The sequence below is a fragment of the Homo sapiens genome, chromosome 16 (assembly GCF_000001405.40).
Source record: "Homo sapiens chromosome 16, GRCh38.p14 Primary Assembly".
Lineage (NCBI taxonomy): Eukaryota > Metazoa > Chordata > Mammalia > Primates > Hominidae > Homo > Homo sapiens.
In genome coordinates, this window is record NC_000016.10 from 14,765,718 (window position 1) to 14,788,250 (window position 22,533).

At 48.1% G+C, this 22,533-nt stretch overlaps 1 pseudogene, besides 1 other annotated feature; it reads right to left on the reverse strand.

The window, feature by feature from the left end:
- PLA2G10EP (phospholipase A2 group XE, pseudogene) lies at positions 685–4,358 on the reverse strand (annotated as a pseudogene).
- Positions 884–1,384: an enhancer, noted in NCBI's record as "H3K27ac hESC enhancer chr16:14860458-14860958 (GRCh37/hg19 assembly coordinates)". NCBI's record gives its function as "activates a minimal SCP1, AML or CMV promoter by ChIP-STARR-seq in primed H9 embryonic stem cells {active_cell/tissue: H9 hESC(primed)}" and the evidence as "EXISTENCE:reporter gene assay evidence [ECO:0000049][PMID:30033119]".

Below are 22,533 nucleotides of genomic sequence, written 5' to 3' on the forward strand. Positions count from 1 at the left end.
TGCCACCACGCCTGGCCAATGTTAAAAAATCCTTTAACTTTTTTGTAGAGATGCACTCCTGGACTCAAGCAATCCTCCTACTTGTCCCGACCACCAGCCTCTTTCTGATAAACATTTACACTGTTTATTATCTGATGCCATTTCTATCTTCTTCCTTGTCATCCAGACATCAAAGAATTAGGTTTCTTCAGGGTTTTCTTTTTCAAGTGCTCAGTGTTAAAGATCACTCACATTAGGGCCAGACACCACGGCTCATGCCTGTAATCCCAGCACTTTGGGAGGCCGAGGCGGGCAGAGCACTTGAGGTGGGGAGTTTGAGACCAGCCCGGCCAACTTGGTGAAACCCCACCTCTACTGAAAAAATACAAAAATTAGCTGGGCGTGATGGTGCATGCCTGTAGTCCCAGCCACTTGGGAGGCTGAGGCATGAGAATCGCTTGAACCCAGGAGGCAGAGGTTGTAGTGAGCCGAGATCACATCAGCACACTCTAGCCTGGGTGACAGAGCGAGACTGACTCAAAAAATAAATAAAATAAATATCACTTACATTAGATATACCCAAGGGGTGGTCTATAGAGACTTGGAAGCAGTGGTTATTGCAACAGGGGCACGGAAGTCATCTGGCTATGCCAGGGTGCCCAGGGGATACTCGGGGTGGGTGGCATGGTGCTGCTGGGGACTCACCGCACAGGACGCTCTGATTGACGCACTGCCAGGAGTAGCGCTCTGTCTTGGGGCTGCAGCCGGCCTCCTCAGCTCGAGTGTAACAACAGTCGTGGCCATGGCAGCACCTGCGGATGTCACATGGGCAGGACAGCAGGTGGGTGAAGCTCTCTCCTGGCCCTCCTCTCTTGCCAGGACTATGGGTGACTGAAGACCCCCAGGGAGGCACAGCATCCTCTTATCTAAGATTTTTTTTTTTTTTTTTTTAAGAGACAGGGTCTTTCTCTGTCGCCCAGGCTGGACTGCAGAGGCACAATCATAGCTCACGGCAGCCTTGAACTCCTGGGCTCAAGCGATCCTCCCACTTCAGTGTCCCAAGTAGCTGAGACTACAGGCACACGCCAGCATGCCCGGCTGGTTTTTTAATTTGTATTTCCTTTGAGACAGCGTATCTCTCTGTTGCTCAGGCTGGAGTGCAATGGCTCAATCAGCTCACTTTAGCCTTGAACTCCCGGGCTCAAGTGATACTGCCACCTCAACCTCCCAAGTCTGCTACTACAGGAACACAGACTCCTTTTTTAAATTTTTTATGGATATGGGGTCTCACTATGTTGCCTAGGCTGGTCTCGAACTCCCAGGCTCAAGCAGTCCTCCTACCTCAGCCTCCACAAATGCTGGGATTACAGGTGGGAGCTACTGTACGCCTGGCCTTATCTAAGCTGTTTCCCTGAAAATCCCCGTCTTGGGTAATGATTCCATTGGCCCCACCATGCCCTCTGCCTTCCTGGCTGTGCCCAAGCTTGGTCCCTGCCTGCCTGCCTGCCTCCCTCTCTGGGTCTTGAGCTCCTGTGACACATGACTCCTCTCTCTTCCTGGAGTGATCCAAGCCCTGCCACTTCCTGACTTTGCCCACACTGTACCCTCTGCCTGGGGCAACTTCATGTCTGCCCATTGTCCCTTAGGCCTCAGCCCAGGCACAAGCCCCTGCCTCCGGAGGTCATCCAGGCCTCACCAGGCTACACCCTCTCGTAAAATTGGATTCCCTCCCTTCAGGGCAGGTTTATAATGAAATCCTCCTCAGAGGCCAGGTGCGGTGACACCCATCTGTAATCCCAGCACTTTGGGAGGCTGAGGTGGGAGGATCACTTGAGGCCAGGGGGTCGAGACCAGCCTGGGCAACATAAGAGAGACTCTTGTCTCTATAACAAATTTAAAAATTAGCTCACCAGGCCAGGCTCAGTGGCTCATGCCTGTAATCCCAACACTTTGAGAGGCCGAGGCAGGTGGATCACGAGGTCAGGAGTTCGAGAGCAGCCTGACCAACATGGCGAAACCCTGTCTCTACTAAAAATACAAGATTAGCCAGGCATGGTGGCACGCACCTGTAATCCCAGCTACTCGGGAGGCTGAGGTAGGAGAATTGCTTGAACCCAGGAGGTGGAGGTTGCGGTGAGCCAGGATCACGCCATTGCAGTCCAGCCTGAGCAACAGAGCAAGACTCTGTCTCGAGACAATAAAAACACACAAAAAATTAACTCGCCATGATGGCACATGCCTATAGTCCTAGCTACTTGGGAGGCTGAGGTGGGAGGATTCCCTTCAGCCCAGGAGTTTGAGGCTGCAGTGAGCCACTATGATTGTGCCACTGCACTCTAACCTGGGCAAAAGCGAGACCCCAGGCTAGAGTGCATGATTTTGGGTCACTGCAACCTCCACCTCCCAGGTTCAAGTGATTCCCCTGCCTCAGCCTCTTGAGTACCTGGGACTACAGGCATGTGCCACCACGCCTGGGTAATTTTTGTATTTTTAGTAGAGACAGGGTTTAGTAGAGACCATGGTGAAACCCCGTCTCTATTAAACAAATCTCTACTAACCCCATCTCTACAAAAAACAGCTGGGCGTGGTAGTGCACACCTGTAATTCTAGCTACTTGGGAGGCTGAGGCACGAGAATCATTTGCATCTTGGAGGCAGAATTTGCAGTGAGCTGACATCGCACCACTGCGCTCCAGCCGGGATGACAGAGCAAGACCCTGTCTCAAAAAAAAGAAAAAGGAACAAACAACAGCAACGACAACAAAAAAACCTCTGTGTCAATCACAGCCTACAAGCTAGGGGAGAGGCGGCCGAATTCTGCCCTCTGCTAACTAACTATAGCTTTGTGGAAATGGGTGAGTGGCGTGCCCTTGTGAGCCTCAGGGCCCCATCTGTAAAATGGGCATAACTGTCATGCCCGTCTTTAAGAACAGCCTTGGGGGTAAATGAGTGGAAGTCATGGAAAGATCTCAGCCCACAACCTTCCACAGAACAGACGCTTCTCACACAGTAAGTAGCAGGAGTGCAGAGGCTGCAGGCATGAATCCAGCCAGACTGCCTGGGTTCAAGTCCCAGCTCCCACGTCTTGGTAACTATGTGGCCTCAGACAAGTTACTTAATATTTCTTTTTTTTTTTTTTCAGACGGAGTTTTGCTCTGTCACCCAGGTTGGAGTGCAGTGGTGTGATCTCGGCTCATTGCAACCTCTGCCTCCCGGGTTCAAGCAATTCTCCTGCCTCAGCTTCCTGAGTAGCTGGAATTACAGGCACCTGCCACCACACACAGCTAATTTTTGTATTTTTAGTAGAGACGGGGTTTCACCATGTTGGCCAGGATGGTCTCGAACTCCTGACCTCGTGATCTGCCTGCCTCAGCCTCCCAAAGTACTGGGATTACAGGCGTGAGCCACCGCACCTGGACACGTTACTGAATATTTCTGTGCCTAGGTTTCTTCATGTGAAATGGGATTGTTGTGAGAACACAAAGGGATTCCCAGGGCAGTTCCTAGTGCATAGTCTGGCTGCCTTTGTATGTGTGTGTGTGTGTGTGTGTGCGTGTGTGTGTGTGTTTAATATAGAGACAGGGTCTCACTCTGTTGCCTAGGCTCGTTTCAAACTCCTGGGCTCCAGTGATCCTCCTGCCTCGACCCAAAGTGGTGGGATTACAGGCATGAGTCAACACACCTGGTCACTTTATATTATTTTTTTTTTTCTTTTGAGACAGGGTTTGGCACTGTTGTCCAGGTTGGAATACAGCGGTGCAATCTCAACTCACTGCAAACTCTGCCTCCCGGGTTCAAGCAATTCTCCTGCCTCAGTCTCCCGAGTAGCTGAGATTACAGATGCCTGCCACCACACACAGCTAATTTTTGCATTTTTAGTAGAGATGGGGTTTCACCATATTGGCCAGGCTGGTCTTGAACTCCTGACCTCAAGTGATCTGCCCGCCTCGGCCTCCCAAAGTGCTGGGATTACAGGAGTGAGCCAGCGCTCCTGGCCAATTTTTTAAGGCAACGTTTTCAGCCCATGGCCAGGGTAAGGCACAGCTAGTACCAAGATCTGGCTTCACTGGCCATGTTATCCAAGAGGCCTCTGCCTGCCTGCAAAGTAGTACTGCACACTGGGATCTCCCTGGACCAAACCCCAGCTTCAGTTTTGGGTACTTCCTCATAAGCCTTGACTACCCCAGAGTGTGAGGGATTTTGTGGCCTGGTCCCAGGCATGCACTCACCAGTCAATGGCATCGCGGGGCTGGCCATGGCCTCCCAAGCCACAAAAGCAACCATATTTCACATAGGCGATGGGAGTTCAGGGACCAACACAACCCACAATTCCTGCCAGTTCCAGGATCCCACGCCGGTGCACACGTAATATCCTGGAGGCTGGGGGGTAAACAAAGGTGACAGGCTGCAGGTCAGGGCTTCCCAGACCCCTGGGAAGGGCATGAGCCTGAGAAGAGCCTAGGTGTTACAGCCTGGCTGTCTGGGTTTGAATCCTACTTCCTGGCTGTGTGACCTTGGACAAATTCCTAACCTCTCTGGGCCTTGGTTTCCTCATCTGTGAAATGGGGGATAAGCTGACTTCAACTCATATGAATGAAATGAGATAATGAGTATAAAGCCCCTGGTGCATGAAAAGGCTATTATAATCCGGCTGGGCTCAGTGGCTTACACCTGTAATCCCAAGATTTTGGGAGGCCCAGGCGGGCAGATCACCTGAGGTCAGCAGTTCAAGATCAGCCTGGCCAACATGGTGAAACCCCATCTATAGTAAAAATACAAAAATTAGCCGAGCATAGTGGTGCACGCCTGTAATCCCAGCTACTAGGGAGGCTGAGGAAGGAGAGTCACTTGAACCTGAGAGGCGAAGATTGCAGTGAGCCAAGATTTTGCCACTGCATTCCAACCTGGGCGACAGAGCAAGAGTCTCAAAAAAAGAAAAAAAAAAAAGGCTAACTATTATAATCAAGGTCCTCAAGGTAGCCAAGGAGGGAAAAGAGTCGTGCATGAAACCTTTGTCCAGTTCCCTGTGTTGGGCACTCGGCATCATATGAGCCTACAGGTGTCTGTCACCAAGGTGGGCTCCTCTGTGGCAGCTCCCAGGCCCTGGCACTGCCCTGTGCTCATGACTTTTCCTCCAGACTCAGGCTCAGGGCCCTTGGTATCTCCTCTTATTTTCACTGCCAGACAGGAAGGCCCCTTGGCCTGAGCCCAGCCATTTTTCTAGATCCTGGCACAGCTTGGACATGTAATGGTGCCCAATGCATGTGACTGGAACCCCTGCATTGGACATGTAGGAAACGAGGCCAGCCGGGAAAGGTAACCCCACATTCCCACAGCCAGCAGGAACTCAAGCAGAGGCTTCAACCCAGGCTTCTGACTTGCAAACCAGTGCTCCTTCCTCCTTACACAGTAACAACAGGGGAAGGTGGCCTTCCGGGTTGCCAGAGCCGAGTGGTACCAGCAATAGAGTGGAAACTCACACACAGGCTTGCCTGCTTCCTGGTTTAGGTTTAGGGTTTATACGGCTCCGGGAGGTTGATGCATTGTGTTTGATCATCCCTTTTTTTTTTTTTTTTTTTTTTGAGACAGTGTCTCATTCCTGTTGCCCAGGCTGGAGCACAGTGGTGTCATCTTGCTCACAGCAACTTCTGCCTCCCAGGTTCAAGCAATTGTCCAGCCTCAGTCTCCCGAGTAGCTGGGATCACAGGCGTGCCCCACCACACCCAGCTGATTTTTGTATTTCTAGTAGAAACGGGGTTTCACCATCTAGGCTGGGCCGGTCTCAAACTCCTGACCTCATGTGATCCACCTGCTTTGGCCTCCCAAAGTGCTGGGATTATAGGCGTGAGCCACTGCGCTCATCCTGATCATCTTGTCTCTCTTTTTTTAAATAGAGACAGGGTCTCACTCTGTCACCCACACTGGAGTGCAGTGGCACAATCATAGCTCACTGCAGCCTCCAAATCCTGGGCTCAAGTGATCCTCCTGCCTCAGCCTCCAGACATACGGGCACGCACCACCATGCCCAGCTAATTTTTAAATTTTTAGTAGATCTGCGGTCTCACTATGTTGCCCAGGCTGGTCACAAACTCCTGGCCTCAAGTGATTCTCCTTCCTTGGCCTCCCAAGGCACTGGGATTCCAGGCATGAGCCACCATGCGCAGTCTCATTTCTGTTTTATCTAGAACATGTTTTCATCACACTGACTTTTTTGAGAAGTCCAGGCCAATTTTAAATTTCATTTTGTCTTTTTATCAGTGGAAAAGTAGCATATTTATGTTGCACGACAAAGATGAATCAAATAGGAAGAAAATGTAAAACACATTTGGGGCCGGGCACAGTGGCTCATGCCTGTAATCCCAGCACTTTGGGAGGCCAAGGCGGGCGGATCACCTGAAGTCAGGAGTTCCAGACCAGCCTGACCAACACGGAGAAACCCTGTTTCTACTAAAAATATAAAATTAGCCACGCATGGTGGCGCATGCCTGTAATCCCAGCTACTTGGGAGGGTGAGGCAGGAGAATCGCTTGAACCCGGGAGGCAGAGGTTGCAGTGAGCCGAGCTCGTGCTATCACACTCCAGCCTGGGCAATAAGAGTGAAACTCTGTCTCAAAAAAAAAAAAAAAAAAAACACACGAAAATAAAACGGCATTTAGAGTTGAAAGCTTCACCTTCCTCTCTGGATGGTGAGTCCTCACTCTCCCAGCAGCCCACGCCTCTGCCTCAAACCTCCATGGCTCCCATGAGTCTGGATAAAGCTAAGGAGTCTCACTGCACCCCAAGTCCTGGGGGTAGTCAGCCCCTCTCACCCCTCCCTCATCCTCTCACACAAGAGTCATTTACTGTCCCTCCAGTTATGCCCGGTCACGCAGACACTCTGCTGCTCAAATGCCCTCACCCCATCCTCAGCCTGCTCCCAGGCCACCTCCCTCCAGAATCCACCTCGCCTGCTAGGTGGCCATAGGGACCCTCGCCATACTGTCTGCTTGTGGCAGTGCCCTCCGGCCTGGGGGGTCTTCCAGAGCAGATCTCTGGCCAAGCGCAGTGGCTCATGCCTGTAATCTCAGCACTTTCAGAGGCCAAGGCAGGTGGATCACCTGAGGTCAGGAGTTCGAGACCAGCCTTGCTAACATGGTGAAACCCCGTCTCTACTAAAAATACAAAAATTAGCCGGGTGTGGTGGTGGTGCATGCCTGTAGTCCCAGCTACTCAGGAGGCTGAGGCAGGAGAATCTCTTGGACCCGGGAGGTGGAGGTTGCAGTGAGCCGAAATGGTGCCACTGCACTCCAGCCTGGGCAACAGTGAGACTCTGTCTTAAAAAAAAAAAAAGAAAGAAAAAGAGCGGAGCTCTGATATAAGCTGCCCTGGCACACAGTGAGCTTCCAGAAATGGTCCCTTGACCTCTAAATCCACCAAGACCCAGGGAACATGCCCTCTCTGAGCACTCTGACAATGATTTGCATTTCTCTAATGACCAGTGATGATGAGCTTTTCTTCACATGTTTGTTGGCCACATAAATGTCTTCTTTTGAGAAGTGTCTGTTCATATCCTCCGGCCACTTTTGGATGGGGTTGTTTTTTTCTTGTAAATATGTTTAAGTTCCTTGTGGATTCTGGATATTAGCCCGATGGATAGATTGCAAAACTTTTCTCCCATTCTGTAAGTTGCCTGTTCACTCTGATGATAGTTTGTTTTGCTGTGCAGAAGCTCTTTAGTTTAATTAGATCCCATTTGTCAATTTTGGCTTTTGTTGCCATTGCTTTTGGTGTTTCAGTCATGAAGCCTTTGCCCATGCCTATGTCCTGAATGGTATTGCCTAGGTTTTCTTCTTGGGTTTTTATGGTTTTAGGTCTAACATTTAAGACTTTAATCAATCTTGAGTTAATTTTTGTATCAGGTGTAAGGAAGGGGCCCAGTTTCAGTTTTCTGCATATGGCTAGCCAGTTTTCCCAACACCATTTTAAATAGGGAATCCTTTCCCATTCTTGTTTTTTATTACAACTTTTTACCTAAACATTCAATAGTTTTCACTAACTTTTTGGCAATGAGGCAGCTGAGTCTAAGTAGGTTAAATCACTTATCTGAGGTCACACGGCAGGACAGTGCTTGTTCTGCAAAGTTAAGTGTGTTTCTTTTTGTGGACCATGAGAACATCTCCAACTGCCCTTTTTGACTTGGCCACCAGGGAACTCAGCGCCATGTTCTCAAATCCAGTTTAGTAACTGGCCTTCTGGCCTGTATATCTTTATTCTACCTTCCATCCTGCTCTGTTCTGCTTTTACCTCTTATTCTAGATTATCTTTCTTTAGTCCTAATTTTAAATTTATATCTATAATCTTGTTATATATATTTCTTGGCATCTACTGTAAGTGGGTAGTGAACGAATAAACAAAATGTGATGAATTTTAGAGGACTAAGAAGGGCCTAAGTCACACCAAGATTCATGCTGGATAATTTGTCATCGACCCAGACTGTGATTCTGCACTCGCCAGTAACCAGTTTTTTGTTTTTTTTTTTTTTTTTTGCTTTTTGCCAACCATACATTTTGCTTTCATGGTATGGAAGTGGTTTAAGCTTATGGCTTCCAGCCTGCAGTGGCTATGAGGGGTCAGTCTCTCATCAGGAGGGGTTGGCAGACTCTGTTCTCAGATAGGCAGCAAGGATGGAGGTGGGGCAGGAGCAATTTCACTACCTGCGTGGCGTCTGGGTCTTGCTTAGAGAAATAATTCCAGGCTCTGCTGCTTTCGACTCTGTCTCTCATGGTTCCACTGATTCCTGCAGAGATCTAGAGAGAAAATTTCCAGCGAGGAGTTTCTGGCTCGTTTGATTTTGAACACGTTTTGAGTATTCCACCCCTTACCCCCCTGCCCCCACTCACTACTCTGTAGTTTTTTTTTTTTTTAAGAAAACAGTTTGAAAGCAAAAATAAATAAATAATTCAAAACAGAGGGGCCATTTTTATTTACTTTGGTTGTTTCAGGATAGGGAAGGGAGCTTACACTTTTTTTGAACTCTTATTCTATGCTAGCCGATGTGCTGCATTCTTAGCTTAAAAGCCTGCTTCTCTTTGATTTCAGAATAACTTGGAAATAAATGATCAGACCCTGCATGCTCTGATCCTGGCTGTCTGCTCTAACTAAATCTCCTCTTCCTTGCTTCCTCCAGCGAGTTGTTCTCCCTTCACCTCCCAGCACAAGCTTTGCACGTGTTGCCGTCTGTCCTACAAAGGTCTGTCCCTTCCCAGTCTCCGTGTGACTCCCTCCTTCACACCCATGGTTCTCCACTGAAATGTCCTTTGAGCGCGTCTCAGATGCCTCAGTCTAAAGTAGATGATTCCGGGCTGGGTGCAGTGGCTCACGCCTGTAATCCCAGCACTTTGGGAGGCTGAGGCAGGCAGATCACCTGACATCAGGAGTTCAAGTCCAGCCTGGCCAACATAGTAAAACCCCGTGTCTACTAAAAATACAAAAATAAGCCAGGCATGTTGGCGGGTGCCTGTAATCCCAGCTACTTGGGAGGCTGAGGCAGGAGAATCGCTTGAACCTGGGAGGCGGAGGTTGCAGTGAGCTGAGATCACGCCACTGCACTCCAGCCTGGGTGACAGAGCAAAACTCTGTCTCAAAATAAATAAATAAATAAATAAATAAATAAATAAATAAATAAAGTAGATGATTCACAGAAACCTCTGTTCTTTTAGAGCACTCTTCAACACTTTTTATGCTTTTTATGTTTGATTTCTAATAAATATGTTTCTTTCACTATACCATAAGTATATTCCTTCTTCTAAGTTTCATTAAGGTAGAATCACGTATGTCTTATTTCCTGTTATATCCCTAAGTACCTAGCATGTAGTAGGCATTCAATAAAAATTGATTGAATGATTGAACACTCAATCCCATGATTTGAGTGTTTTTTTTGTTTTTGTTTGTTTGTTTGTTTTGAGACAAAGTCTTGCTCTATCACCCAGGCTGGAGTGCAGTGGTACTATCTTGGCTCACTGCAATCTCTGCATCCTGGGTTCAAGTGATTTTCTTGCCTCAGCCTCTCAAGAAGCTGAGACTAACTACAGGCATGTGCCACCATGCCCAGTAATTTGTTTTGCGTGTGTGTGTATTTTTAGCAGAGATGGGGTTTCACTGTGTTGGCCATGCTGGTCTTAAACTCCTGACCTCAGGCCATCCACCCTCCTTGGCCTCTGAAAGTGTTGGGATTACAGGTGTGAGCCACCACGCCTGGCCTTTTGTAATTATTCTAACAGCTACTACTTATTAGGTGCTGACTATATGCCAGGCACTGTGCCAATTGATTTATTTATTTTCAGGGATTGGGTCTTGTTCTGTCACCATGGCTGGAGTTCAGTGGCACAATCATAGCTCGCTGAAGCTTCAAACTCCTGGGGTCAAGCAGTCCCCCTGCTTCAGCTTCCCAAGTAGCTGGGATTACAGAGATATACCATTACACTCAGCTAATTTTAAAAAATGGCTGATTTTTTTTTCAGAGATGGAAAAAAAAACAAAAAACAAAAAACAGCTACTACTTATTAGGTGCTGACTGTATGCCAGGCACTGTGCTGATTTTTTTTTAATGTTTTTTATTTTTTTAGAGTTGGGGTCTAGTTCTGTCACCATGGCTGGAGTTCAGTGGCATGATCATAGCTCACTACAGCTTTGAACTCCTGGGCTTAAGCAATCTTCCTGTCTCAGCTTCCCAAGTAGCTGGGATTACAGGCATGGGCTATCACACCCAGCTAATTAAAAAGACATTTTATTGTATAGATAGGGGTCTGGCTATGTTGCCCAGGTTAGTCTCAAACTCCTGGCTTCAAGCGATTCTCCTGCCTCCACCTCCCAATGTGCTGGTGTTACAGGTGTGAGCCATGGCACCTGGCCCTGTGTTGATGTTTTACATACAGCATCTCATTTAATCCCCACCAGGATCCTGTGGGGATGGATTGGATTATCCCCCACTCCTTGGAAGAGCTTAAGGATACCCAACCAGTTGGTGATTGAGCTGGGATTTGAACTCAGGCATTCTAATGGCAAAGCTGTGCCCCTTCCACTCTACCATCGTGTTCCTCTCCAGGGGAGGTGTCCCTGCAGTGCTGTGACTTTGTCGTCGAACATGTGCTGAGGTACGTGAATCCTCTGGAGAAGAAGGGCAAAGGAACAGGCTTTCCAGGCAGGAAGCCCCTGCAGGCGAGGGAGGAAGGCTGCAAGGGACATGGTAGGAGGTATCTTGCTCCCCATAGCTGGGCTGGGAGGATGAGATGGCTGAGAGCCAGGAGCCGGGCTGGGGTTAGGCTCATATCAGCCTGCAGAGGGCTTTGGGGAACCCAGGCTTTGGGGCCAGACAAACATAGCTTCTCACCCACCTGATCATTTCCTCTCTGTTGTATCCTATGTTTCTGGGTCTCAGTTTCCTTATCTATGAAATGGGGATACCATGACCTGTTCTGCCTGCTTCATAGAGTGCTAAGGAGCAGATGACATAACGTGTGCAAAAGCAGCTGTTCTTATTTCTATCACTTATTTTCATTATCGCTATTCTCAAGCAGGCAGACTGTAATTTTTTACCTCTTTCTTTTTTTTCACCCTTGAGTTGTTTGGAAGTTATTTTTAAAAGTCTTTGAAGTGTCCTTTTCCGTATTTGGCAAAAGCAAAATGGAAATTGATAGCATTGTCACCGTCGGCATCCCCTCACTCTGGCCGCCTGGCTGGGGGACAGCTCTGGGAAAATGTGGAGATGTCTGTTGTGGGCGGCTGGTTTGTTATTGCGTGAATTTTTCTGGTGAGACCTGACCAGCTCCCTTTTAAGGCAATTTCTCGTGTTCTTGTTCCTCCTCTTTTCTTTTCCTGCCAATGTCAGGTCCTTTGTGCCATCTCCAGGCTCAGAAATCCGTACAGCCAGAGTCGGTCCCCAGTTTGGCCACTTCCAGCTGAAAAGCTTTCCCATGCCTTCCCTTTAACTTAGAATAGCATCCAAATCCTTCATTGTGACCAAGGCCCTGTGCAGTCTGCTCCTGTCACTCTCCTCTCCATTACTCAGCTCCAAAAGTGTCACCTCCCTTGACTCCTCCAATGCCCCGCATGGTTTCCAGCCCCAGGGTCTTTGTGGGGTCTTTGCCAGGAATCCTGTTCCCCATTTTTTTGTTATGGGTAGCTCTTTCTCATCTTTGACATCTCTGCTCCAGAGTCAACTTCACACATGGCTCTTCCCTAACCCACACTAAAAAATAAGCCTCCTTAAAGAAAAAAAGAGGCTGGACGTGGTGGCTCATGCCTGTAATTCCAGTGCTTTGGGAGACTGAGGTAGGAGGATCACTTGAGACCGGGAGTTTGAGATCAGCCTGGGCAACACATTGAGACCCCATCTCTACAAAAAAAAAAAAAAAAAAAAAAAAAATAGCGAGGCGTGGTGCTGTATACCCATAGTTCTAGCTACTCTGGTGGCTGAGGCAAGAGGATTGCTTGAGCCCAGGAGTTCGAGGCTGCAGTGAGCCGTGATTGCACCACTGAACACCAGACGCAGTGTCATGTACTTGTAGTCCCGGCTGCTTGGGAGGCTGAGGTGGGACCATCTCTTAAGCCTGGGAGTTTGAGGCTGCAGTGAGCCCTGATCATCCCTGTGAATAGCCATTGCACTGCAGCCTGAGTTACACAGATACGTCTCTTAAAAAATAAATGAAAAGAAAAGCCTTTTAAATTCAGTGTCTTCGCATAGTTAGTCCAACCTTAAGGAGTGTTACCAGATACAAACAGGATGCCCAGTTACATTTTTTTTTTTTTTTTTTTTTTGAGACAGAGTCTCACTCTATCCCCCAGGCTGGAGTGCAGTGGCATGATCTTGGCTCACTGCAACCTCTGCCTCCCAGGTTCAAGTGATTCTGATGCCTCAGCCTCCCGAGTAGCTGGAATTACAGACGTGCACCACCAGGCCTGGCTAATGTTTGTATTTTTAGTAGAGATGGGTTTTTGCCCTGTTGGCCAGGTTGGTCTCGAACTCCTGATCTCAGGTGATCTGCCCACCTTGGCCTCCCAAAGTCCTGGGGTGACAGGCGTGAGCCACCATGCCTGGCAAAACTTTGTAGCCCAGTTTGTTCTATTTTTTTTTTTTTTTTTTTTGAGACAGAGTCTCACTCTGTCGCCCAGGCTGGAGTGCAGTGGCATGATCTTGGCTCACTGCAACTTCTGCCTCCCGGGTTCAAGTGATTTCCCTGCCTCAGCCTTCCAAGTAGCTGGGAATATAAGTGCGTGCCACTGCACCCAAATTTGAAGCTTAGATAAACATTGAATAATTTTCCAGTATTACATCAGATACATAACTTGTATTTAAAAAATCATTCCTTATTTCACTGGATTTAAAATGGAATTGGGTGTCGTATATTTTTACTTGTTAAGTCTGGCAACCCTACCCTCTAGAGAGAGGTGTTGAATGAATGAGTGTGAAGTCCTTAGCTTAGGGCCTGGCACTCAGTAGGTGCTAAGTAAATGTCACCTGTCAGCATCTTCCTCCTCCTCTTCCTCCTCCTCTAGTTGCTTCTCAGAGCTAAGGTCTCCCTGCTCCTTTTTTCCTCTATGGAAATGGATGAGAAAAGGTTTTCTAACAAGGGGCCATCACCTGGATTTTTAGAATAGCATAAAATATTCTCTGCTGCAGCTTCGGAATCCGACTGTGCTGGTGTTTGGCAGGAAAATGCAGTGAGTTATCACAGAGCGTTCCCTCCAGCACTGGGTCATGCAAATATTTATTGTGAGCGTTAAATAATAAATGGAGCAGCCTGCCCAATGGTAAATCTGTCATGTTTGGTTTCAGCCAGGAGTTGTGATGGCCCTGGAATCGCTGCCCGTTTCACCGCATCCACCTGCCCTCTAGAGGAGCAAGGCAAACAGCCGAGTTCTCTGGGGTGGCATCAGTGGGCTGGTGTGGAAGCCAGAGGGGCAGTGAGGGGAGTCAGCCAGGCATGGAAACTGGCAGGTAAGGCAGCCCTGTGGCCCAGGAACCCAAGCCGCAGCCACGCCGAGCAGGCCTGGACCTTTGAGTCCCTCTGCCACCACAGTTCTCAGGGGACACGGTCTCATTGTCCACATCTGGATTTATCTTTCCGTATTTCCCTCATTGCTCTTGTCAGCTTCACTCTGGCTGACTGGCTGGAGCTGGCAAGCTTCTGAAAGTGGAGTCAACCTTCCGACCCTTTTTCTAGGCTGAGTGGTGGGTGGAGGAATGAGACCGTGTGTTGGACTCAAACTCGATGCAATAACGTTTCCCAGCCCCTGTGGTGTGCTGGGGCTCCTAGCACACATCCTCTTGTTTAACCTCAGCATTGCAACCTGAAACACAGACACGTGGGTTCTTGAGCCAGATGCCTCTGAGTTGGAATCCTATCTCTGCACTTAACAAGCGGTATGACCTTGAGTGAGCCACAGTTTTTCAGAGCCCCTGTTTCCTGATCTGTAAGGTGGGGGAGATGGTGGCACTCACCTTATGGGGCTGTTATGTATTAGTCCATTGAGGTGTCTTAGCCTGTTTTGCGTTGCCATAAAGGAATACTTGAGGGTGGGTAATTTATAAGAAAAGAGGTTTGTTTAGCTCACGGTTCTGCAGACTGTACAAGAAGCATGATGCCAGCATCTGCTTCTGGTGAGACCTCAGGAAGCTTTTCTTCACTGTGGAGGGTGAAAGGGGAGCAGGTGTGTCACATGGTGAGAAGAGGGGTGAGAGAGAGACAGGAAGGGTGCCAAACACTTTTTTAACAATCAGACCTCGCCGTGAACTAAAAGAGTGAGAACTCACTCATTACTCAGGGAGGGCACCAAGCTATTCATGAGGGATCTGCTCCCACCACCCAAATACCTCTCGCCAAGCCCCGCCTCCAACATTGGGGATCACATTTCAACATGAGGTTTGGAGGGGACACACATCCAAACTATCTTATGAGGTAGTAGGATAATGTAGGTGAAGACTTGCACAGTGCCCGGGACCTGGGGACAAATGCTAGCTCTAATGGTTAATAATGGTCCAGAGAAGAAAATAACTGCTCAGATGCACAGACATGACTGCACTAGTCAACCATGCAGGTATGAGTCCCCATCCTAGAGTATGGGGTGCATAGAGCTCTAGCCCACCATTATTGAGTTGTAGAACTAAGGCTCCAATCTGGGGCTTTATGGATCCCTAAATCATGCCCTTTCACCTTCCCCATATCTGCTTTATTCCTCATAGGGTGGCAGGGAGGGTGGAGCTCATGCCTGGCCTTAATCATCATGGCCTAAGTTTGGTAGTGTCCAAACAGTGGTGAGGGGTGAAGTTGTAGGGTTGCCAGGTAGGTTGTGTTTGGCTTCAAATCACTGAGAACCCAACTGGAAGTGGTGTAGATGCTAATGGAAGTTATTGTTTCTCTGCAGGGGGCCATGTGGTTAATTGATTCAGTGGCTCCATTGTGGAATGGTGGGCCTTGTTTCCTTCCACTTTTCCACTATTCCATTCTTAGCAGCTGGCTCTTGCCCTCAGCCACACCCCATCATGGTCTCAAGATAATATGGACAAGAGAGAAGAGAGCCTTCTTCCACTTGTTCCCCGCTTGTTTTTGAGACAGGGTCTCGCTCTGTCACCCAGACTGGAGTGTAGTGGTGCAATCATAGCTCGCTGCAGCCTTGAACTTCTAGGCTCAAGTGATCCTCCTTCAGTTTCCTGAGTAGCTGGGACTATAGGTGCATGCTACCATACCCAGCTAACTTTAGAGTTTTTTCTAGAGATGAGGTCTCCCTCTGTTGCCCAGGCTGGTCTCGAACTCTGGGCCTCAAGTGATCCTCTTGCCTCAACCTCCCAAAGCACTAGGGTTACAGATGTGAGCCACCACGCCCAGCCCATCTGTCCCTTTTTATGATCATTTTCTCATTTTCTCAGAAGCTGCCAGCTGACTTCTCCTTCATCTCATTGGTCAGAAATGTATCACGTGCCCTTTTCTAAGCCAGTTGCTGGCAAGGGAATGGAATTCCCAAGGTTGCCTTAGACCAGTGCTTCTTAAAGTGAGATCCCCAGGCCAGCAGCATCTGCCATGTCTAGGCAATTTTAAGAACTGCAAATTCTCAGACCCCAGTTCAGACCTACTAAATCAGAAACTCTGGGGTGGGATCTATGTTTTTATTTATTTATTTACTAGAATCGGGGTCTCTGTTGCCCAGGCAGGAGTACAGTGACACTATCATAGCGCATTGCAGCCTCCAACTCCTGGGCTTGAGCGATCCTCCTGCCTCAGCCTCCCATGTAGCCAGGACTACAGGTGTGCACCCCCACACCCAGCTATTTTTTTTATTTTTTGTAGAGACAGGGTCTTGCTATGTTGTCCAGTCTGGTCTCAAACTCTTGGCTTAAACAATGCTCTGGTCTCAAACTCTCGGCCTCCCAAAGTGTTAGAATTACAGGCGTGAGCCACTGCGCCCGGCCCATAGTCTATGTTTAAACGTGCCCTCCGGGGGTTTCTGATGGACACTGAGTTTGAGAACCTCTGGCTTCCTAAGATCTTTTCCTCTGAAGAGCCAGAGAATAAATATTTCAGGCTTGTGGCCACACAGTTTCTGTAGCAACCACTCTGTTCTGCTGTTGCAGTGTGAAAGCAGCTATAGATGATAATAAATAAGTGAATGGGTTTATTTATGGAGACTGAGATTTGAATTTCATCTAATTTTTATGTGTTAGGAGATATTATTACACTTTTGATCTTTTCTAACTACTTAAAAATGTAAAAGCCATTTCCAGCTCCTGAGCCGTACAAAAGCAGGTGGTGGGCCGGGTTTAGGCAATGGCTTGCCAGCCCTCCATCAGACTGCTCAAGATTCATCCCCTGAAACTGGGGAGAGCCTAATAGTCTTAAAACACAGAGAGCCCCAGATTCTTTAGAAAATTGGAATTTGGGCTGGGTGTGGTGGCTCACATCTGTAATCCCAGCACTTTGGGAGGCTGAGGTGGGAGGATGGCTTGAGCCCAGGAATTTGAGGCCAGCCTGGGCAACATAATGAGACCCCATCTTTACAAAAAATAAAAATAATAGTCGGACGTGGTGGCATGTACCTGTAGTCCCAGCTACTCAGGAGGCTGAGGCAGGAGGATCTCTTGAGCCCAGGAGTTTGAGGCTGCAGTGAGCTATGATCACGCCACTGATTGCAGCCTGGGTGACAGAGCAAGACACTGTCTCTGTCTAAAAAAAAAAAAAATGAAATTGGGCCAGGCGCGGTGGCTCATGTCTCTAATCCCAGCACTTTGGGAGGCCAAAGTGGGTGGATCACCTGAAGTCAGGAGTTCAAGACCAGCCTGGCCAACATGGCAAAACCCCATCTCTACTAAAAATACAAAAATTAGCCGGACGTGCTGGTGGGTGCCTATAATCCCAGCTGCTCGGGAGGCTGAGGCAGGAGAATGGCTTGAACCTGGGAGGCAGAGGTTGCAGTGAGCCGAGATCGTGCCACTGCACTCCAGCCTGGGCAACAGAGCGAGACTCTGTCTCAAAAATAATTTTTTAAAAAAAGGAATTTGATGTATAAGGAAGAAGGGTCAAATTGCTGCTGTTTGTTCACCTGCAGCACTTACCATGATAGGCCTGTGTCCAGGTCAGCTAAGAGTCAACTTCCTTAATGTCTCGCTTTTAAAGTCTCGATTTAGTTTTATTCCTTGGGTAGATTTTTTTCCCATAAGTTATTGGGGTACAAGTGGTATTTGGTTACATGAGTAAGTTCTTTAGTGGTGATTTGTGAGATATTGGTGCACCCATCATCTGAACACTATACGCTGCCCCATATTTGTAGCCTTTTGTCCCTCGACCCCCTTCCACTCTTTCCCCCAAGTCCCCAAAGTCCATTGTATCATTCTTATGACTTAGGCAGATTGTTCATCTTCCCACTGAAAGGCAGTCTTCATTGTCCTGAAAAGCCTGGTTATAAGCTGTTCTCTTACCCGAAACACCAGCTCAAATTCCCAGGTGGCATCAGAGCATAGGAAGGTAACAGGACTGGTTTCAAGCTTCCTGCACGTGATTTGTGACTCTTTAAGAACAAAAATTCTAAATGCCATTTGTAGATGGAGCAACAGAATATCAAAAAGGTTAGAGGTGTGATGTCTAGAGCTACCTCTTAGCTTCCCAATTCTGTAATTTTATGCTACTTCCCTGGGTAACACACTCCCTGGAAGGCCAGCAATCCTACGGCCTGGCCAAGGGCCTCCCTCTTTCCTTAGTAAAAGTTAATAATAATAATACTGATAAAGGGCCGTGCGTGGTGGCTTACACCTGTAATTCCAGCACTTTGGGAGGCCGAGGCGGGAAGATCACCTGAGGTCAGGAGTTCGAGACCAGCCTGGCCAACATGGAGAAACCCCATCTCTACTAAAAATGCAAAAATTAGCTGGGCGTGGTGGCACATGCCTGTACTCCCAGCTACTCAAGAGGCTGAGGCAGGAGAATTGCTTGAACCTGGGAGGTGGAGGTTGCAGTGAGCCAAGATTGCACCACTGCACTCCAGCCTGGGTGACAGAGCAAGACCCTGTTTCAAAAAAAAAAAAAGCAAAAAGGGCTGGGCGTGGTGGCTCATGCCTGTAATCCCAGCACTTTGGGAGGCCGAGGCGGGCGGATCACAAGGTCAGGAGTTTGAGACCAGCCTGGCCAATATGGTGAAACCCTGTCTCTACTAAAAATACAAAAATTAGCCGGGCGTGGTGGCAGGCGCCTGTACTCCCAGCTACTTGGGAGGCTGAGGCAGGAGAATTGCTTGAACCTGGGAGGTGGAGGTTGCAGTGAGCCGAGAGTGCACCACTGTACTCCAGCCTGGGTGACAGAGCGAGACTCCGTCAAAAAAAAAAAAAAAAAATACTGATAATGACAGTGCTAACAGCAATAATAGATAGCTAACAAGTGTGGAGTGCTTATCCATCTTCTAGTCCCCACCTTCCTTTAGCCCAGGAGTTCGAGGCTGCAGTGAGCTATGATTGTGGCACTGTACTCTAGCCTGGGCAACAGAGCAAGGTCCTGTCTCTAAAAAAATAAAAGCATAAAAATAAAATAACCAAACTTTTTATTAACCTTCTACCCCCAGAGGGCCCCCTCCCTCAAATAGCTCATTAACTAGACCTGGTTTGCATGCCCACCCCCTCTAGGGACTGAGCCCAACTTCTGAGATAGGGACCCTTGAAAGAACTGGGGTTCTGTTAGCAAGAAGAATTAAGACAAGAGGATGACTTTTGGTGTTGACAGTGTCTGCCCCTGTTTTTTGTTTGTTTGTTTGTTTGTTTGTTTTTTTGAGATGGTGTCTCGCTCTGTCACCCAGGCTGGAGTGCAGTGGCGTGATCTCAGCTCACTGCAACCTCTGCCTCCTGAGTTCAAGCGATTCTCCTGCCTCAGCCTCCCGGGTAGCTGGGATTACAGGCGTGTGGCACCACACCTGGCTGATTTTTGTATTTTTAGTAGAGACGGGATTTCACCATGTTGGCCAGGCTGGTCTCGAACTCCTGACCTCAGGTGATCCACCCGCCTTGGCCTCCTAAAGTGCTGGGATTACACGTGTGAGCCACCGTGCCCAGCCTGCCACAGTTCTTTACACATTTGATCTTTAGCTCACCCAACAACCTTGTAAAAATATGATTGCTACCCATAATTTTCAAATAATCTACGTATGCGTAAGAGAGAGAAGTGATTCCCCAAAGATCACGCAGCTAATAAAGTGGAAGGGAGAACCCAGGCCCACCTGGCTCCGAAGCTCACACTCTTTCCACTAAGCTGCCTGCTTCTTTCATTGGAATGGAGGTTCTCAATCGTGAATGGTAGGAGTGGGGTGGGGTGAATTTTGACCCTCGGGTGAAATTTGAAAATGCTTGGAGACATTTTTGGTTGTCATAATTGGGAGAAAGGGTGTGATATTGGAATCTAGTGGATAGAGGCCATGGATGCTGCTAAAGTTTTTATAGTGGGCCGGGCGTGGTGGCTCATGCCCATAATCCCAATATTTTGGGAGGCCGAGGTGGGTGGATCACCTGAGGTCAGGAGTTCGAGACCACCCTGGCCAACACGGTGAAACCGCGTTTCTACTAAAAATACAAAAATTAGCCAGGCGTGGTGGTTGGTGCCTGTAATCTCAGCTACTCGGGAGGCTGAGGCAGGAAAATCACTTGAACCCGGGAGACAGAGGTTGCAGTGAGCTGAGATAGCGCCACCGCACTCCAGCCTGGGCGACAGAGCGAGACTCTGTCTCAAAAAAAAAAAAAATTATAGTACATAGGACAGCCCCACAACAAAGAATTATTCAGCCCACAATGGTGCCAAAGTTGAGAAACCCTATATACTAAAACAAGCTCTTTGAGGGCAGGGATCATACTACCTTGACTACCTTGTTCAATTCTCAATCCTTTATACCCTGCCTGTCCTGGCACATTGTAAGTGCTCAGTAAGTAATGACTGAGCAACTGAGCAGATGTGCTACACCAGATTCCAGAGTCAAATAATCATAGACTTGGAGAAGTGCAGGGTTATGGGGGCTGCAGTATAACACTCTACCTCACAGTGGGTGCATCCAAGCCACCAGCTTCCCCTGGTTCCAGAAGGCCTGTTAGAGACATGTCTTGCATTTGCACTTGGTCCAGCACAGCCCATGCCTCCCACTTGTGAAAAGAGGCTGACTGATGGGTGGTGATCAGGGTTGGCTGCCTTTTCATTTTTGAGATCATGGGAACAGAGGGACCGGATGAAGAAACACTTCTCTGAATCTACCCATTTCTAAATGGATGAATCACCAAGGAGGAAACTCAAAGATTAATTTCTCACTGCCCTTCTTCCCTTGCTCTGCTCTTTGTAGACAGTTACTGGTGCTCCAGGGCAAAAGATAATGAAAGTTCTTCCTTGCATCAAACTATTTTCTTCAGGAGATAGAGCCAGCATTAGCCAAAGAGACGGTCTGGGCTCTGGGAGCTTGGCTTGGAGGCCCAGGACATTCAAACAGTCCTTCCCGGAGAACAGGCTGGACCTGCAGTGATGAATAATTATTTTGCAATTGACAGTTCAATACCCACCAGATTCTTCATTGTATGTTTCTGTATCGTGTCAAGTTATGAGAAAACGCAATATTCTTTAACAGCTAGGCAAGAACAATGGTTTTTGCTCATTTGTTTGTTTGTTTCCACCCCCCAGAGGTCAGTTTTTGCAGTAAGAAGAGTCTCATTCTTTTTTTATTTTATTTTATTTGTATTTTGAGACAGTCTCTCTCTGTCATCCAGGCTGGCTGGACTGCAGCGGCTGCAACCTCCATCTCTCAGGTTCAAGGGATTGTCCTGCCTCAAACTTCTGAGTAGCTGGGACTACAGGCATGCCTACGCCCTGCTAATTTATTGTATTTTTAGTAGAGACAAGGTTTCAACATGTTGTCCAGGCTGGTCTTGAGCTCCTGACCTCAAGTGATCCACCCGCCTCACCCTCCCAAAGTGCTGGGATTACTGCCATGGGCCACTGTGCTCGTGACTCTTCAAGAAGAGTCTTGAATTTACTCTGAATGTGTCCTTGGTTGGCACAACCACGAGCAGAATATGCATCCTATCTATCCTCACAAACACTGGGTTTATTATCCCCAATTTGCCTTTGAGGAAATGGAGGCTCAGAGAGGTTAAATAACTTGCTCAAGTTCACGTGGGCAATGAGTGGTGGAGTGGAGATTTGAACTCAGGACTGTCTGTGACCCTCCCAGCCCTGCAGTCTCCAAGTCTCCAGTACTATCTGGCTCTAAAATCCGTACTATTCCCTCTGCTATGTTTTTGTGGCGACTTGAACTCTTCCTTCAAAGTCTTGGCTGCTGCTATGAACTGAACGTGTACCTTGTGAAGTTGTATTTTTTCCATATTGTAATTCCATCCTTCAAAAGTAAGTCTTGTTACTGCAAGACTGTGTTTCACCCGTCCTGGGGTAGGAGTGGCTAACAGGTTGGCTTGGGTCCCACAGTGAAATCTGTTCTGAGCCAGACCCTCCCGAGGGGACAGGGGACGAGCAGGAGGGATTGTAGCTGAAGTAGACATCTCCTGGTTCCCAGAAATGTGGAAGAACCTTGTGCAAAAACAGCTTCCTGCAGAGCCGCAAGATGGGATCCAGGTTATTGGTATTTGAGCACTGTGTTTAGGGGCTATGAGAGAAAACTAACATGAACCGGCTGAAGGAAAAAAGTGGAGGATTACATGAAAATGAATTCAGGGAGCTTGCAGGTGTACTGAAGGGAAGTGTGAGCTCTAAAAGCTGGAAAAGGTCTAAACGTGTAGATTACAAAAATATCTGCAGCTTAGCATGGCAATGACGGATAAAGCGTCAGATATGTGTTTGTCATCCAGTTGTCTATGGCTGTGCAACAAACCACCCAACATGTAGTAGCTTAAAACATGACAGTCATTTATTTTGCTCACACATCCACAATTTGGGCAGGATGTTGAGGGGACAGTTCGTTCCTGCTCCACATGGCATCAGCTGGAGCTCACCAGGGGGCTGCAGAATTCATTTCTGAGATGGCTCCTCTAGCGGTTGCTAAGTTGGCGCTTTCTGGT